At 45.0% G+C, this 19,314-nt stretch overlaps 1 protein-coding gene across 7 annotated transcripts in view, besides 2 other annotated features; it reads left to right on the top strand.

The window, feature by feature from the left end:
- Positions 1-19,314, top strand: part of NRG2 (neuregulin 2) — a 196,519-nt gene that overhangs the window by 56,789 nt on the left and 120,416 nt on the right. The gene's annotated exons all lie outside the window — the stretch shown is intronic.
- Positions 16-1,215: an enhancer, noted in NCBI's record as "P300/CBP strongly-dependent group 1 enhancer chr5:139364881-139366080 (GRCh37/hg19 assembly coordinates)". NCBI's record gives its function as "activates an origin of replication core promoter dependent on BRD2, BRD4, P300/CBP, MED14 and CDK7 cofactors, with strong dependence on P300/CBP, by STARR-seq in HCT116 cells {active_cell/tissue: HCT116}" and the evidence as "EXISTENCE:reporter gene assay evidence [ECO:0000049][PMID:35650434]".
- Positions 17,395-17,444: an enhancer, noted in NCBI's record as "active region_23255". NCBI's record gives its function as "activates an Ori minimal core promoter by ATAC-STARR-seq in GM12878 lymphoblastoid cells {active_cell/tissue: GM12878}" and the evidence as "EXISTENCE:reporter gene assay evidence [ECO:0000049][PMID:35858748]".

Here is a 19,314-nt window from a genome sequence, read left to right as displayed (position 1 = left end):
AAAATAGTTCTCATTTATGTCTAGGTTCTTTTTGCTTCTTTCTCTCCGGTCTTGAGTAAGGGTCTCCAGTTGTGTCACAGTTATATCTTAAAGACTGTGTGTATGTGTGCTTTATAAGAGAAGTCTGATCACCAATTTATATCATTGACTGACCTACGCCAAAGCCCCTTTCCTCTAGTGCAAGGTCCTGGGGTGTGGGAGGATATCCCAGGGGCCACGCCTGACACATAGACAGGCTGAAGTTTTGCCTGTGTTTGCAGTGGACCTAAGGACAAATGTTAGGCTAACGCCAGAAATTCAGAATTTTTCATTCCTTCCCATTACCTCAGTTTCTTCTTGTGCAGTATGAAGATGGAGTTTCTCCTGAGCATTTTGGAGATGCAAGAAGGGATTGCTTGGAGTGACGAAGCTCCAGATTCTGTGTTCATTCTGCTAATCCTGGAGCTGGGGTAAACATGTGACTATGTTTATAGCCTGCCTATGTCCAGACCCTGCTGTGAGAAGCAGCTCTTCCCAGTGGCCTAAATATAGCCCTGGGAGCCCCACATGCCACATTCTATCTAGTCTTGGCTTGCACACTGACTCACTGTATGACTCTGTGAAAGTCACTTCCCCTCTCCTCCCAGTGGGTCATTGGGAGTTGGGGGGAGTGTGGATAATTGCCCTGAGTCACCTCTCAGAGAGGAGCTGATTAGGGCTCAATGAAGCGAAAGGTGTAAGCTGAAAGGGCAAGGGAAGAAGCAACTCTGGATAGAGCTCGAGGAGAGGGGGCTTGGCTTTCACACTGCTTGGGCAAGCTGTCCCCTGAGATTGGGAAGCCTGGGACCTATGGTTAGCTTCAAAAGGTCCGTAAACCTCTTTGAATTATGAACAGGGATACGTGGATGTAAGCCTGCATGCATTTTTATGGGGAAGGTCTATAGCTTTCATCAGATTCTCAGAAGTTAAATAACCCCAAACGGTTCTGAATCACTGCCTTAGGAAGTTTGACTTGGGTTCTGAGGAGAGGAGGTGCTGTTCCTGTTTCGGGAGGGGCAGCAAAGGTTGGGCTTCCCCAGGAAGTCAGAAGCCAGCTGTGCTAGGTACAGTGCTTAGAACAGCCCATGGAGAAAGGCCAGGCACTCTTTTGGGCCCTTGAGATAGAAATGAAATACTTTTTTTTTTTTTTTTTGAGACCGAGTCTTGCTCTGTCACCCAGGCTAGAGTGCAGTGGTGCAGTCTCGGCTCACTGCAGCCTCCACCTCCAGGATTCGAGTGATTCTCCTGCCTCAGCCTCTCGAGTAGCTGGGATTACAGGTGTGTGCCACCACACCTGGCTAATTTTTATATTTATAGTAGAGACGGGGTTTCACAATGTTGGCCAGGCTGGTCTCAAACTCCTGGTTTCAAGTGATCCATCTACCTCAGCCTCCCAAAGTGCTGGGATTACAGGAAATGAAATACTTTTTGACTCATCTACATCTCCCATCCCCTACTCTGAAGTCTGCTCTTCCCAGGTGTTTGGCCCTAAGTGAGGTCAGTATCTGCATGGGCACACCCTGGAAGACAAGGTTGAAGAACATATGCATGAGTATGGTATGCTATGCAAGTATCTGGGCTGAAAGTAAACCATGAATAAGGAATAGAAAAGCAGTCATCTGTGGAGGCCATATCACAAAGCAAAAGGGGTGTTAGAATGGGACTGAGGACACTTGGGCCCTGATTCTTACGTTGATCCTAAATCACTTTGTGACCTTAGCGGTCACTTAGCTTCTCTGTGCTTATTGTGCCATCTATAAAATGGGCTAACTTCCCCTGACCTAAATACTGACAGTGGCTGTTGTGAGAAATAAAAAGGAATTTAACAAAAATTAGCATTTGTTATGTTTTCTTATTTTAAAAGTTAATAAATGCTCATTGTAGGAATATGAAAAACCCAGAAATATGTGAAAAAAGGAAGAATTATTTGCAACCTCTCCATTCTGAAGTACATCTTATAAAATCTTGGAAATTATGCTCGCTTTGGCAGCACATATACTAAAATTGGAACAATAAAGTCTCGGAAATTTTCCTTACAAGTCATTTTTCCATGCATATATTTTTTCTCCTTACTTGATCTTAATGTTCATGTAATTTTATATACTGCTTTTCTTACCTACTATTGTATAGTGACCATTTATCTATATCATTAGTCGTTCTTCAGCAATCTCATTTTTAATGGCTGATGTTCCATCACTGGAAGGCACCAAAATTTATTTAACAAATTCCCAAGTGTAGGCCATTTATAAGTTGCTTCCAAATATTTCATATATTATAAATAATGCTATGTTGAACAGCCTTGTGTATAAATCTTTATGTTTGTCTCTCTTGCCTTAAAAGAAATTCTTAGAACTGAGATTACTGTGCCAGAATGTAAAGCTGATATAATTAAATATTTTAATATATATAAAATACAAGGCATTGATGAGACTGATGGCAAATACCTGTTCATTCATTATTAATGTAAATTCTTGCATGCCCATTGCAGTTGAGACATTTCTGTGAATGGGAGGTGAATGTTTCTATGATCCTGGCGCAGGGTAGTGCAGTTGAATTAGTGTCTATTTCTCTCTTTTGGAATTGTGCTATGCCAGGAAAACAAATCATTTATGGTAAGAAAGCTTTCAGTATGAGAGAGCAGGGAGTTTTGGCAAGGTATCCTTTTAAAAGGATCAACAAACAAGCTCTTGTCAAAGTGTTTGAAACTCTCAGTTCCAGTCAATACCCTATATATCTTAATAGCATGAGCAAGTCCCATTATTTCTCGGACTTCTGTAGTCCCACCTATTAAAATAGGGAGACTAATCCTTAACCCATCTGACATAAAGGAATATTGTGAAAATTTAATGAAATTGCGTGTCTGTGAAAGTATAACAGTATAAGCAAAGGTTCTTTTGCCTTCTCTTTATCACGAGATTGAGGGCTGCTGGGAGTGGAAGGAAACAATGGAGAACCAGGGGCAATGGAGGGAAGCGTCTGAGGGACTGAAAGAGAAATAAGGCCAAGAAATAGCACATGGAGTTTGGTAGAGCTCTGACCTGGAAAAGCCCTGGAAGAGGAGCAGATCCAGATGGGCCCGCCTTCCCTTTAGGCTGGGCCTTGCCTTGGGCCAGCTGTGTCCTGAGGACCACTCTCAGACGCAGGGCACTGAAACTTCCCCAGAAACAGAGACCTTTCTCATGTGACCCTGGGTGCCTTGGGACTCACTCTCTTGGAGGCAGTTTTTAGTGGCTAATCAAACTCACAGCCACCTTCTCCTCCAAATCTTCAGATAGGCTGGATCCTGCTCTGTGGAAATGAGGAAGGGAAGGGGGGTCCCTCTGAGCCATCTGCTCACCTCCAGGGGAGTGACTCTGAGAATCAAGGAGAATCCTATGAATGACTCCCCACTGTCCACAGGAATGTGCAACACTTCCCAGGCTCCCATAGCCAAAGACCTAGTGTTATAAACAGAAGCTGTGGTCCTGAGCTGTCAGAGAGGTTAATCCCCCAGACATCAGGGCCTGGCCTGGCAGAGTTGGGAGCTGGGCTGATAAAGCCTGATAAAGGGAAGCAGCAAGGGGAGAGGAACTGCAGGAGTGTGGGATGGACCCCCATGAAGGCAGTTTCTGATGGAGGCAAGTCATAAAATTTCCCCCATTCATTCTGCTGCCCCTGGGCAAGACTACTCCTCAGCCAGCTAAGAGTACGACACAAAAGATCTGTCCCCTGCTCACTGGACCAGGGGAAAGCAAGGCGCCTTGCGGGGGAATGGGAAGAGGATAACACCCGAAAGTTGTAAAGAAATAATTCCTGGCATTTTCTGAGCTGCCCTGAGGCAGAAGAGAGAGAAGAACAATTCCAACATGGTTCCAACTCTCAAAGAACCGGAAACTCGCTGTCTAGGACTGACGCGCTCTGCTGGCTTTCTTATAGCTCTTCCCTTCTAATTGACTACGACTTGAAGAAAAGCAACTAACTAATGAACAATGTGAGCTGCTGGAAATGTGCCAGGTCACGTGGTACAGGCCAAGAGTGCTGTAGGAGTTTAGAAAAGGCAGAGATTGGTGTGGGCTGAAGTGATTAGAACAGGTTTCCCAGAGAACGGGGGCCAGGACACAGTCCTGGCGGTTTGGATCCACCGTAAAGAGGGCAGGGAGGTGGAAAGGAGCAGCTTTAGGAGTGAGGGGAATGTGCTTGGACAGTGCTGAGGCTCAGGAGTGCCCCGGGATCATGCTGGGCAGCTGTAGGATGAGTGGTTGGGAGTGCAGGAGCAGATCGGGGGAGGAAGACAGATTGTAGATTGCTTTGAATTCTAGGCAGAGGAGTTTAGGCTTCACTTTACAGAAAACAGGGAGTAGAAAGAACCCCTAGAGTGAGGAGGTGTGGGAAGCCATGCTTTGCTGTTTACTTCCACCAAATTAATTTCTTTCTGCCCTCAGTGAGGCCACCTCAACCCCTGAACCATGTAAGGTCTCTTCTAAGAGCTAAATGGTACTGCTCCAAACGTGCTCTATGCTGGCACAGCCTTGGAGATTGCTGTCAAGCTCTTCTTTCTCCAGCGCCACCCCTAGAGACCACTGTCATTCTTCATTTTTCTTCCCATGCCTCCTCTCCAGCATCCCCTCTAGGTTAGCAGGCTCCAGGGAGGAGGGCAGATACTGGGAGCTTGCTCTGTGCTGGGGCACAGCCTTAAACAGGATCCAGCCTCTGTCTACAAAGCCCACAGCCTGGTAGAGCCAGACTAAATGGACATGCAAAGCATGACAAGAGTCTTTTTTTGCTGGCAGCCTGGAGCCTCTAATGCTGAACTGGGTCTTCCTCATGGTGCTCCTGGAACCATGGAACCCTAGATGGAGTTCTAGGAGTTCTGGGACCTGTCCCCTGATCACTCCCCTATTCCTGAGGGAATCCCTGGGCTTTGGTGCCTGGGATAGAACCAGAGCCTCAGCCTGGCTCTGCACAGCCACTTGGACTCTCTCTGGATTAGCTTCCCTGTGTTAAGAGAAGGGAAACGGCCACAGGGAATGCCTTCCAGAGGCAGGACTTGAACACTGCCAGCATGGCGGGTTAAGGATCCGTAAGAGTCCCATATGAGGGAGACCCAGGCCAGGGCCATGGCTGCTGGGAGGCCGGCCCTTCCCACCATGGCCATGTGGGGTGAGTGGGCTACATTTTCCTGCCTGTGAACTCCAACCCTAGGAGTGGGAACAGTGCTCCAAGCCACCTCTGGAGGAAGGGGATGTCGGAGGGGCACAGGTGGTAGGGGAGCAGCACCCAGTCCCAAATGAGCAGCTTGCTCAGGCTGGTGCTGGGTGTGAGCAATCGCTCTGCACTCAGCAACAGCTCTCGTCTGCCTGACCTCAGAGCGTGTACAGCAAGCCCAGCATAGATGCTGCTGGCTCTATTCTGGGTCCTCATCTCTGTATCAGTCACACCACAGGGAGTCCTTCTTAGGAAGCTGCTGCCACTGTTGATGCTTTTCCCAACTCTTCACAGCCACGCTGCACCCCAGGAGCTAAGGCTTAGTGTCTCCATCCTTCTGCCTGCCCCCTGAGACACATTTACAGAAACCACTTCTCTGCACAACCAAGCTCCTAGTAGGGGGTAATCAAGTCAAGAGATGCATAGATTTCACCATTTGGGACAGGAAAGTAGGAGGGAGATTCCCCAGGGAAAGGGAGTTGCCTGACAAGCTCAGAAAAAATTGTGGGGAGAATTAGTGGTAGGAAGAAGAGACAGGGAAGGGAAGGAAACTGGGTGGAAAATTCTGTATTGAAGCCAACTGATTGTAGAGATTAGTGCTGGTGTTCAGGTGGAGCCCATTCTGTCTGAACAGACAATTCTCTCCATCCTTTCCCCACAGAGCTCATTGGGGTTGAAAGTGTTGAATGGCAGTCGGTGACTTTTAGACTCTTCTTGGAAGGTATTTTCCTGCCCCCAGCCTTCAAGGATATCTGCCAGGGGAATGGTGGGCATGAGGATGGTGTGTCTGTCTTGGAGGGTACACGCTGAAAGCAGACTTGGGCTAAGAGCAGAGCTTATTTATCTGCACATTCCTATGGATCTAAGGCTTGGACTCTGACTTCAAGAGGTTCTCTATATCCTGAGGACAGCCTTGGAAGGAACAAAACCAGGTACAGTGAAGATTTTTTTTTTTTTTTGGTGATGCTGTGAACATCCTGTGAATTAGAAAGACAAATCTCCCAAAGAGCTGGGGCTGGATGTTTGGCTTCACCTGAAGCAGGGCCCCTCCGTTTTCAAGAGTCAGGAGAGAGCTGGGCTGCCTCACCTGTGTGTCCCTGGCCCCCAGGACTGCTGAGCTGTTTCCAGTGTGGGGAGAGAATTTCATGGGCTGTCATCACCAAACCCATCTGCCTCCGGATGTCCTGGGAGTAAGAGGAAGAAAGAGGCAGTGATAAGCAGAAATAGCATGGGATGTGACAAACTGGAGGGACCTTCCATGGGATCTGATGGGCCTGAGGGTTTTGCTTTGTTTTGTTTTGTTTTGTTTCTGGTGTTACCAAATTTCTTAGTTTCCAACAGAGTATTTTCACACATGGCCTCTTATATTAGTTATATATTACTGCATACAAAATCATTTCAAAATTTAGACTTACAGCAACAAGCATTTGTTATCTCACAGTTTCTGTGTATCAGGAATGCAGGTATGACTTAGCTGGGTGCTTCTGGTTCAAAGTCTCTCATGCCATTGCAGTCAAGCTGTCCTCCAGGACTGCGGTCATCTTAAGGCTCAGCCAGCGTTGCAGGATCAGCTTTGAAGCTCACTCATGTGTCGTTGGCAGGATTTGGAAGATCTGCTTCCAAGCACACTCACATGAGGCTCTCCACAGGGCTCCCTTATAACATGACAGCTAGCTTCCCAGGGACAAGCAATCCAAAATGGAAGCCAGTCTTTTTATGCCCTAATCTGCAACATGACATCCCATCATTCCCCACATTCTATGTGTTAGCAGCACATCAATAAGTCCAACCCACACTCAAGGGAGAAGATTACACAAGAACGAGAATCCCAGGAGATGGAGATTTTCGGGAGGCTGACCTAGAGGCTGCCGACCACGTCTCTCATTTTGGCCTCATAGCAACTCTGTGCTCTAGCCAGGGAGAAATCGTCTGCAGGTAAGGAGGAAAAGGAAAAGGAGCTCTAGGGAGGTGAGGGGCTCTACTCGTGATCAAAGAGTTGTGAAGTGGTAGATTTAGAATTTGAACGTAGGCGTCCATCTGACTTCAGACTTAGTAGTCTTTCTCTTTTTTTTTAAATTATACTTTAAGTTTTAGGGTACATGTGCACAATGTGCAGGTTTGTTACATATGTATATGTGCCATGTTGGTGTGCTGCACCTATTAACTCTTCATTTAACATTAGGTATATCTCCTAATACTATCCCTCCCCCCTCCCCCCACCCCACAACAGGCCCCGGTGTGTGATGCTCCCTTCCTGTGTCCTTGTATTCTCATTGTTCAATTCCCACCTATGAGTGAGAACACGCGGTGTTTGGTTTTTTTGTCCTTGTGATAGTTTGCTGAGAATGATGGTTTCCAGCTTCATCCATGTCCCTACAAAGGACATGAACTCATCATTTTTTATGGCTGCATAGTATTCCATGGTGTATATGTGCCACATTTTCTTAATCCAGTCTATCATTGATGGACATTTGGGTTGGTTCCAAGTCTTTGCTATTGTGAATAGTGCCGCAATAAACATAGTGCTGCAATATTGTGGCTGCGATAGTGCCACAGTAAACATAGTGCCGCAATATAAAAAGAGTCTCACAATATTGTGAATAGTGCCACAATAAACATACATGTGCATGTTTATAATATAGCAGCATGTTTTATATGTTTATAATATACAAGCATGTTATAGCAGCATGTTTTATAATCCTTTGGGTATATACCCAGTAATGGGATGGCGGGGTCAAATGGTATTTCTAGTTCTAGATCCCTGAGGAATCGCCACACTGACTTCCACAATGGTTGAACTAGTTTACAGTCCCACCAACAGTGTAAAAGTGTTCCTATTTCTCCACATCCTCTCCAGCACCTGTTGTTTCCTGACTTTTTAATGATCGCCATTCTAACTGGTGTGAAATAGTATCTCATTGTGGTTTTGATTTGCATTTCTCTGATGGCCAGTGATTATGAGCATTTTTTCATGTGTCTTTTGGCTGCATAAATGTCTTCTTTTGAGAAGTGTCTGTTCATATCTTTTGCCCACTTTTTGATGGGGTTGTTTGATTTTTTCTTGTAAATTTGTTGGAGTTCATTGTAGATGCTGGATATTAGCCCTTTGTCAGATGAGTAGATTGCAAAAATTTTCTCCCATTCTGTAGGTTGCCTGTTCCCTCTGATGGTAGTTTCTTTTGCTGTGCAGAAGCTCTTTAGTTTAATTAGATCCTATTTGTCAATTTTGGCTTTTGTTGCCATTGCTTTTGGTGTTTTAGACATGAAGTCCTTGCCCATGTCTATGTCCTGAATGGTATTGCCTAGGTTTTCTTCTAGGGTTTTTATGGTTTTAGGTCTGACATTTAAGTCTTTAATCCATCCTGAATTAATTTTTGTGTAAGGTGTAAGGAAGGGATCCAGTTTCAGCTTTCTACATTTGGCTAGCCAGTTTTCCCAGCACCATTTATTAAATAGGGAATCCTTTCCCCATTTCTTGTTTTTGTCAGGTTTGTCAAAGATCAGATAGTTGTAGATACGCGGCATTATTTCTGAGGGCTCTGTTCTGTTCCGTTGGTCTATATCTCTGTTTTGGTACCAGTACCATGCTGTTTTGGTTACTGTAGCCTTGTAGTATCATTTGAAGTCAGGTAGTGTGATGCCTCCAGCTTTGTTCTTTTGTCTTAGGATTGACTTGGCAATGCAGGCTCTTTTTTGGTTCCATATGAACTTTAAAGTAGTTTTTTCCAATTCTGTGAAGAAAGTCACTGGTAGCTTGATGGGGATGGCATTGAATCTATAAATTACCTTGGGCAGTATGGCCATTTTCACGATATTGATTCTTCCTACCCATACCTTGACGCCTGCCAATCCCATTGTCTACTGATACCTCTGGTTAGAATTTGGAGCAGACTTGAGTTGATTGAACATTAAGAGCTTGATGCTGGCTGACTTGCCACTTGATTCTTTCTGGCTGTTTCTGGATTCTTAGGGACATGGTTCATAATCATTCCCCTCTATAGCAAGGACAACTTCTACCTACCATACTTCTTTTTATATTTTTTAATAAACTTTTTATTTTAGAACTTTTAGGTTTACAGAAAAATTGTGAAGATAAGCCAGAGAGTTCCATATATCCCAACCCAGTGTTCTATAGTATTAACATCTTACATTAGTGTGGTACCTTTGTTATAATTAATGAACCAATATTAATGTAGTATTATGAACTAAAGTTTATACTTTATTCAGATTTCCTCACTATTCCTTTGTAATTGAGGCAGGCACTGGGCGATCCATTCATTTGATTAATTCCTAGTCTAGTCCTTCAAGTTGGCACCATTATTATCTATATTTTACTGAAGAGGAAAGTAAGACACAAAGAGATTAAGTAACTTGGCAGATCACAGAGCTGTGCAGAAGCAATGTCAGCACTTTAACTATGGGCTCTCTCACTCCCATGCAGTGCTCTTAACCATTTATGCTTTTCTTCCTCTCTCTCATCCTCTGACTCCTGCTCAGAAGGAGGGAATTATGTACATAAGTAATAACCTAACAGCTGGTCCTACCCCTAGGGTCTAAGCTTTTGGAAAAGATAAGAACCTGTCAGGAAACTGGTGGTGTTTTAGTACCTTCTCCTTCAGCCTCAACTTTCTCTCTGAGAACTGATAGGATTATATTAATGACCCTGGGGTCTCTTCTGGCTCTGACTTTCTGAAACCCAGTGAGTCTGTCCCAGAGGATTTAGGGGCTACCAGTGGGAAAATTGGGGAGGAGGTGGGTTCTGCTTCCCCCAAGCCCAGTGAGTCATTGGCACCTCAGGGAATGAGCCCACTGTTTGGCCTCACTGGCTTCTTTTGCAAATCACTGCAATAGATCACTCATTATATAGGATTGAATCATGTGGCTGCCCATCAAGTTAAGACCCTAAGACTGTTGGCTCTGCATTTGAGGTTATTACCTTTAACTGGTTCAAAGACTTCAGGAATAAAGCCTCTGGGGAAGGCATTGTGAGCAATATTTTTTTCTGCAACACAAATGAAACCCATTCTTTGAGGAGCACAAGCCTTATACAAAGAATTTGTCTCCTCATTTAAAGTGGTGGGAGGCTCTGACAACCCTGACTTGTCAGGAATTCCAAAGCAGGATTGTCGAGAGTGTCCCAGAGTACTGAAGGGTGTGGACTTGAGAGTCACATAGACCCAGCCTGCCTCTTACAAGTTGGTGACCTTGGACAAGTCTCTCAGCCTCTCTGTGTCACCTTTTCAACATCTATAACATAAGGAAAGTATAAGGTTAGCTACCTCATGGAGTTGTTCTTAGATTAAATGTAATAATTTAGGTAAAATGCTTAGTTGAGCCCACAATAAATGCTTAATAAATGTTAGCATTTTTAGGACTTGTTGGAATAATGTATTATTTTTAATTTTAATTCCAGCTCTAAAAGTTATATTTTCTTTTATTCTATTACCCTATTGGAGTCCCAAGTATCTAGAAAGCACCAATTGCTGAAAAGCATGTTCAGCCCCAGGATACAGACAGTTTTCTTCTGGTGGACTGAGGCAGAGGTAGGGGAGGTGATCTATTGAGCTTCACCAACTATTTCCTTCACTACCATCTGCAAAGGAAGCCTGTGGCCTTGGCAAGACAGTCTCAGCCCAGCCCAGCTGCCCCAGCCAGCCTGCCTTGCTGCTATCTGATATTCCCCAGATGGCCCTAGGGCTCTGGAGGGCCTCCTCTCTTGTCTAAGGAAGTGAGCAGGACTGCCCATAGGGTTACTCCTGCAGGGCTCATCCCAGACCTGGCACCTGGCTTTGTGTCTGCCCTCTCTGGCTCTCCACATACCAGTCAGGCTGGGGTCCTGGACACCAAGCTCAGGGAGGGGTACTGAGGCTACTCCTTCCTTGAAAGTAGGACTGGGGTAAGGGTGGCAGACTAGGTCAGACTGGCCACACTGCGGGGCCGGTTCCTGTAGCAGGAGGCTGCTGTCTGTGCCTCGGAGGCCCTGGGGCATGCAGAACAGGCAAAAGGGTCTGACCATGAAGTGCTGGGAAAGGTGTTTAGACCCAGTCTTTTTTTTCCCTTTTCACCAGAAAGCACTGCACCAGAGAAGCTGGACTTGATTTTGATTCTAAGTCCTTTGCTGACTGCGATTAGAATTGGCTGAGTGATTCCAAGATATGTAAGAATGGAGAGGTACAGGGACATCGCGATATTATTGGGGGTGGCCTGCACATTCGTGCACATGTAGTACACATGACAAGTAGACATGTACGACACACATATGAGGCGCTTGTGTATCAGCATTCAAGAAACCTCTTCTCCAGAGGCACATTGGCTGCTAGCCCACACAGGGGGCGCATGGCCTACATACAGACCAGGAAATGGGTTTTCCACATCCAGAGAACATTTACTGCATCTAAGCAGCCATTCTGTGGGCCTGTCCCCCTCTGGGTTTAGAAAGGAAGTAGTCTAAAGCTGTGGACCAGAAGCAGAGGCCCCCTAAAGGTAGGAGCACCCCATAGGCATGTGCCACGTTGCAGAGTTGCTGTCCTCAACCTTGGTGCTGAGAACAGTTGGTCCCGAGGCTGGGTGGAGGACCAGGCCATTTCTGAGGCCTCTGATCTACGGGGAGAAGAGAAATAGGGGCTGGTAACAGCCAAGGAGGAAGAGGAGGCTGGAATCTTACATTTTTAATGATGTAGGCTCTCACTGGTAGAAAAAAAACTATTGGTAAATTATATTTTTTAAAAAATTATGACTGGTTGAGTGTGCGATTGCCTCATGTCTTACCTGACACCTTGCTGTTCGATGGTCTAGGTGGCAGCTCATCATCCTCACAATCACGTGTTGTCAACTTAGCCCAAGCTCCCCTGTTTGCCAGACCACAGCCTTCTCCCCTTCCCCTGGCTCAAAGTGACTGGTGTGGCTTGTGCCTTTTGGGGTACCCTGCTGCCTCCAAGGCATAGCCCTTCCCCATTTTGCCAAGGACAGAGGTACTCCCCTTGAGAATGGAGGGAGGGGAAGAGGAAAAGGGGGAAATCTTGGATCCTTGTCACATCATAGCCTTTTGTGGTAGTTTTTCATTTTCTCGGTGAGGAGGAAAACCCTAGTGAGGAATTGGAATGAAACTATTTGGGGTTGGGGAGTATATATTTCTAAGCTATTGGATTATTTTACCTGAATGAAACATTTTTATCTCCAGAGCAAAAAGGGCCAGGGAGGACTGGGTATGTAGGAATTGTAAGTGGCTCCTAGTTTTGCTTTTAAAAAACATTTTTAAATTACACAAGAACTATTGAATTTTGAACAGTTAGACGATATGGGTAATCAAAAAGAAGAAAATAAGAACACTCATAATCTCACTACCCAGCAACAAAACTAAAGATTCTGGAGTAAATTCTTCCAGAACTGTCACTGTGTAGAAAAACTCTTTTAAAAATGGGATCATACTATACCTACTCTTTCATAACCTGCCCCATGTTTCATTTAAAAGTATGTGAGGCCGCGTTGTGAGGGCAATCACGACAGCTGTCTACGAACCAGGAAATGGGCCCTCACCAGACACTGAATCTGTCAGAATCTTTATCTTGAACTTTTGGCTTCCAGAATTGTGATAAATAAATACTTGCTGCTTAAGCCAAAATAAAATACAAGTATATGAGGAACATTAGCAAGACGCGGTGGCTCACACCTGTAATCCTAGCATTTTGGGAGGCAGAGGCAGGAGGATTGTTTGAGCTCAGGAGTTTGAGACCAGTGTGGGCAACATGGAGAAACCCCATCTCTACAAAAAACACAAAAATTAGCCAGGGGTGTAGGCACATGCCTGTAGTCCCGGCTACTTGGGAGGCTGAGGTGGGAGGATCACCTGAGCCCAAGAGGTGCAGCTGAGCTGCAGTGAGCTGTGATCGTGCCACTGTACTCCAGCCCAGGCAACGGAGTGAGACCTCGTCTCAAAAAAAAAGTATATGAGGATATAAGGAAGGAACATCTTTCTGTGATAACAGCTGTGTTTTTATGCTATCATTTTTAAAGGTCACATGGTATTTCATTATATAAATACAACCATAATTTATTTTATCAATTATTTATTATTAGAAATTTAGTTTATTTTTAATTTTTTATTATGCCAGTTGCACTTCCAGATAAAGGGCTTTTTTTTTTTTTTTTTTTTGCATATTCTTACTTCTTTAGGATGCATTCCCAGATGGAACTAAAGAGACTAAAGATATGTATGTTATAAGGCTTTTGATACTTATTGCCAAGTTCAGAAAGATTGTGTCAATTTATGCTTCACTACCAGTATGTGACTACTAATTTCTGCACACACTCACCAATGTTCTTTTCACTTTTACATATCTGATATGCAAAACGTTATTTCATTTTAATTTACTTTGATTATGATTTAGGTTAACATTTTAATAAGCTTATTAGCATCTTATGTTTCTTTTATGTCTTTGCCCATTTTTCTGTTGAGGTATTTATCTTTTTCATATTGTTACAAGGTTCCTTATATATCTAGGGTATTAATCTTTATTTTGATAAATGCTGTATAGAGTTTTTCAGCTTATTGTTTGCCTTTAGTAGTTTTGTGCCATTCTTTTTTGGAGACAGAGTCTCGCTCTGTCACCCAGGCTGAAGTGCAGTAGTGCAATCTCGGCTCACTGTGACCTCTGCCTCCTGGGTTCGAGCGATTTTCCTGCCTCAGCCTCCCGAGTAGCTGGGATTACAGGCGTACGCCACATACCCAGCTAATTTTTGTATTTTTAGTAGAAACGGGGTTTCACTATGTTGGCCAGGCTGGTCTTGGACTCCTGACCTCAAGTGATCCGCCCACCTCGGCCTCCCAAAGTGCTGGGATTACAGGTGTGAGCCACCGTGCCCAGTTTATGACATTCTTTAATACAGAGGATTTATATTTTTTAATATGGTAAACATTATCAGTATTTCTTTTTGGTCTACTTCTTGATTCATTCTTAGAAAGACTCTTCTATTCCTCCTGTGTGACATAAACATCTACCTAAATGTCCTAGTGTTTTATTTAACATTTAGGTCTCTTAACCATCTATAATTTATTTTTGTGTATTATAGGCCTAGTGTTTTAAAATTTTAGTTAACTTGTTATTCCAGTATCATTGTTGGACAGTCCATTCTTTTTGTTTTAATACAAAATGTCACTTAACATTCTACATGTATCTATAATATTACATTTTATATACGCACTGGTCCTGTTAATAAAGCCTTTGTTCAACACCTGCAATTGTTTCTTGGCTTTATATTATGTTCCACTGATTGATCTATTCTGGTACCTGAACATCATTTTTAAAATTATTGTAGCTTTATAATACATTTTCGTATCTGGCAGTGCACGTTCTCTTTTTTTGTTCTTCTTTATCAGTATTTTTCTTGGCTATTCTACGTTTATTCTTCTAGATAAATTTGAGAATCAATTATGCCCTTGGGTTTTTTAGTTTGGAATGCTGTTAAATGTAGAGGTTACCTTGGGGAGATATGTTGTAAAGTACTACATTTTTACTTTCATTTATTCCTTTTTGTTTGTTTGTTTCCTTTAATAGAGCTAGAGCATAATTTTCTATTGATAGATCCTGCACGTTTCTTACTAACTTTAGTCCTATCATTGTATGTTTTATTGATATTACTAATGGGATGGTATTTTCATTATATTTTCTAATTGCATATTGCTCATGCACTTGAGAATGCTTGATTTTTTTTACATTTGTTTTGTAACTGGAAGGCAAGCATGCTGTCTTCTGGTTTTTCCTTTTGTGGGTTTGGGCCAAAGGCATGTTTGACCTATTTTGAGGCCATTTAATTTCCTTCTGGGTCTGGGCCACAGCTCCTCCCCGCAATTCCTTGCCATTGTGAAAGGAGTTTGGGTGAAGAATGGTGGGCACAATCAACTCCTTGTTGGCTGCCCCCTAAGGACAGATGTGTTGCAAAGCAAATGCCTACCTAGTTCTTTCCCTACTCCAACCCCAGCTGTTTGGATGCCAGGAAGATGACTTACCGTCTAGTGGAAAATAGGCCCATGAATCAAAGCTGACACAGGCAGAGTGATCGTGGAGGAGCTAGGGTGTTAAAATGAAATTGATGCCAACCCTGGGGGCTCTCAGGGAAACTTTAAGGGCCTACATGTGTCATCAGCTTGGTCTCTGGGCTGGCTGAATGCATCTGACTGAGGTAGTCCTTTACTATGGCCCAGAGGCAGAGCTAGATCTGCTTCTTTTCTCCCCATGTTGGGGAAACTGAGGTTGAGCAAACAGGATAGTCTCCAGGATGGTGGTGTTGTCACTGTGTTCCCTTCTAAGAAGGATGGAGATTCATTAACTTTCAAAGCTCAAGGGGAAAAAATAAAAAAAAAAGAAAAACTGGTTATGGAGACTGGCCTCATTTTCAAGTCTGAAGCAAACGCATGTTTGGAAAGGTTTCATGGATAGTGCTAACTAAGGATTCCCAGCAGGTTTTACACATTCTACTTTGGTGGAATGTAAAGATTAGCACTGCCTTTTCTGTCTGATTTTTAGCACTTGGGGTTATATCCCAGTCATGAGCACTCTCTCAGCTTTCCTGCCTTCCCACTGCTTCCTACCACAGGCCACTTCTTCTCTTCTTTGCTCTCTGGTCTTTCATGCACAGGTTGCATGCTAGAGGAGAAGATGGTCCCAGAGGTACCCTGAAAAAGGAGATAAGCTCATCAGGGGATAGCAGGGCTGGAATAGTTAGAGAGAAACATGGAGGGATAAAGGATGTTGGTGGGAGTGGTGGACACAGAGGGTCAGAGTGCAGGGTAGAACTTAGAAGCCAAGTAGTCAGCCCAAATTAGCCTTGCCTGCATCTTCTAGTGGCTCACTCTTGAGGGCCCCTCCAGTGGAGGTGGGGATGTTGCTCTAGTCTTGGTGGTCCTATGAAGCCTACCTCCTTATCATGTGAGGTTTTATCAACCTGACTTGAAAGCTCTGATCCTGTACCCAGACCTTATCCATTGGCCAGACCAGTTCATTTTCTCTACTCCTTTCCTTTTATCCTTAGAACCAAATGAATATCCAGGTTGTTGTTCAAGTGCTCTAAAGAAGGAAACACCACCATCTTGGTTGATGTTTTACTCCAGTGTTTTGGACCATCTTGTTCCCAGAATGTTCTATTTTATAGCTATCTTAGGCCTTCTTGTAATACAAAACCATTATCCTGTGGCATGAATTGGAGAATGTGGAGAATAGTCAGACATCTTTTTTCTGTATAGCCCTTTAGGGACTTCTAAAGGTTATTCGGTTTGTCTTTGAACTTTTGCCAGCACAATGAAGTAAAAATAATACTTGTAAAGTGAGGGGCACAATGCCTGGCACATAGTAAAATGACATTCATTGTTTTTATTGCTTTATTTATATTATTCTTAGGCGATGATAGCACACTCCATTTGCAATATTATTTAAGTTCATATGTCAATGGGAGGCATGGAATTGTTCCAGTAAGGACGGGAAAGGCACATAGTGTTTCCCTTGCCCTTCCTGTTTGAGAGGTGAATGCAGTGTAAGCCAAAGGTCATCATCTATTATTTGGGGTGGAACTAGAAGCTAGAGGGCTCACTACTCCACTAAACTCTAAAATACTTGAGGGCAAGAGTTGTGTCTTATTTGTCTCTGAAATCTCTGGAGCTGAGCATAGAGTTGATTCAATAAACATTGGTAAAGGAAGGTAAGGAGACAGGGATAAGCTGGTGTGGCATCTCAGCATTGCAGGAGACACTAAGATCCCTGTACAAAAACTGTCCCTCTAACATGTCTGCCAAACTAGAGATCCTGCCTTGCTTGAACGCACCTGTTGCCTGATAACTCACTCCTTTTGAAGGCTGCCAGTGAGGTCAGCTCTAATTGGTAGAAACGCTCCTTTCATGGAGGCAGAATCTGCTTTGCCTTGACTTTTACCTGTTAGCCTTATGTCTGTCCCTCTGAGCTACACAAAATAAATTTAGTCTTTCTTCCAGATAACAGCCCTATAGATATTTCAAGATAGCTATTATTTCTTATTTCCTTTTGCCAAATCTAGAACTTGCTTCAGAAAAGCTTCAGGAAACTGTGTCAGAGTCATAACAAGTTATTAAAAGCCAGATATGTTGGCCTTAATCTTGGCGGGTTAAATTAGAATGGCCCTTTCCTAGCACTGGCTCAGGGCCAGAGTCTGCTTCTTGGGTCAGAAGAATATGGCAAGGCCTCTGAGCCCTAGAACACTATATCCTTCATGTTCTAGGCTAGGACTGTGGGCTGCCACGCGGCTGGGCTGATTGCAAGCGCCGGAACCCTCTGCCGGCAGCTTTCCACCAGGTGGCGGGGCATTACCTGCCTGAACGCGGACCCGCGCACCTTCCTCATCTCTCCACCAGGTGGCAGGGCAGGCTGCGTCTCAGCTCCTGCACCGGCCTCGGAGTGCCCTCTCCTCCTGGGCTGAGGCTGGGAGGAAAGCTGTAGGGGCTTTGGAAAGGTCTGCTGCCTTCCCCAGTGAGGACCAGCGGATGCCTCTGCTGCCCTGTGCGGGTGATGGAGCTGGGTTCTTGCTGGGCTTGCTGAGTCCTGGGCAGCCTGTCCAATAATATGCCGTTGCTTGTTGGAGTAGTGTCCAGAACACAGCCTGTTGGGAGCCAGCCCTCAGTGAAAGGCCGCCGAACGGAGAGCTCCCAGTGTGGACAGCTGGCGCTGCCGCTCAGGAGCTACCCCTCTGCCCTTCCCAGCCCTCCTTCCTCCTTCCAGTCCCCTGCAGGCGTGGAGGAAGGTGCTGCTGTCTCTCTGACCCATCCCCTTTGGCGAGGATCGACCAGGTTCCTCGCCTCACACAAACAAGATGAAGTCCAGGCTTGCAGAGTCAGAAAAAATTCTGGTCTACAGGCCTCTTCTCTATAGGGAGGATGTTCCAATCCTGCCCTGCTCCTAAACTAGGCCCCCTTGAGGCTCCGGGTTCTGGCCTTCTGCGCCCTACCCTCACGCAGGCCCTCTCAGCTCCGGGCCCACCACGGAGGCCCGTTCTTTCTGTGGTCGGCCTCATCAGCTGCCTCCGGCTTGTCACTTCCACATCTTCCCTTCTCACCCCTTCTCAGCCGGGCGGGCAGGCATGGTGATTCTGGGCCCAGCCTCGGTATTTCATTGGGACGGGACTATCGGAGAGTGGGAAGGCCTGACTTGAGCTGCCAGTGCCTGCTAGGAAAGCAGAAGCTGTTTCCCTCAGAGGCCTTGGGGGTCAGCATGGCCTCCTCCCCCTGGAATGAAACTCTGGAAGGGGCTTGAGTAAGCATGCAGTCCTGTTCTCCATTTATTTATTTATTTATTTATTTATTTATTTATTTATTTTTATGTTTTATTTTTTGGGACAGAGTCTAGCTCTGTTGCCCAGGCTGGAGTGCAGTGGTGCGATCTCAGCTCACTGCAACCTCTGCCTCCCAGATTCAAGGGATTCTCCTGCCTCAGCCTCCTGAGTAGCTGGGACTACAGGCGCCCGCCACCACGCCTGGCTAATTTTTGTATTTTCAATAGAGATGGGGTTTCACCATGTTGGCCAGAATGGTCTCGATCTCCCACCCGCCTCGGCCTCCCAGAGTGCTAGGATTACAGGCAAGAGCCATTGTGCCCGGCCCTGTTCTCCTTTCATAGGTAAGAAAATCAAGACCCAAGGTTAAAGGAGTCTTGAGGGCTCTGACTAGAGCCCAGGCATTCTACATCTCTGATGAGGCCTTGCATCTGAGGGATCTTCAGTTACCAGCCTCTCCTTAGAAGTGTCTCTGCTTTTCTTCCCACCTGGCCACCAACTGCCCTCTCGTGGGCCCACCTTGTGCACGGCAGCAGCGTCTTCATCAGCTTTTGTTGTCTGGTACATTTGGCCACCTGTGGCCTTTGTTGGGCTGCAGGATGAGGAAAGAGGAAAAGGACACTTGTCCTTCAGTACGGAGACTCTGTTGCGGAGGAGGTATGTGTGTCCTGAGAATGTCTGAGTGGGTTTTCTATTCCTCTGCCCAAGAGGAGTACTTGTTGGACATCTACCTTGTACCCAGGGCTGAGTGGGATACAAGGTAATAGTCCCTGGAGTGAAGGTCCTTATAATCTAGGCATGAGGTTGACTCTAAATAGCTTT

This window comes from Homo sapiens, chromosome 5 (assembly GCF_000001405.40).
Source record: "Homo sapiens chromosome 5, GRCh38.p14 Primary Assembly".
Lineage (NCBI taxonomy): Eukaryota > Metazoa > Chordata > Mammalia > Primates > Hominidae > Homo > Homo sapiens.
Note: the sequence above shows the minus strand (reverse complement) of the source record. Positions and strands in the feature narration are given on the sequence as shown.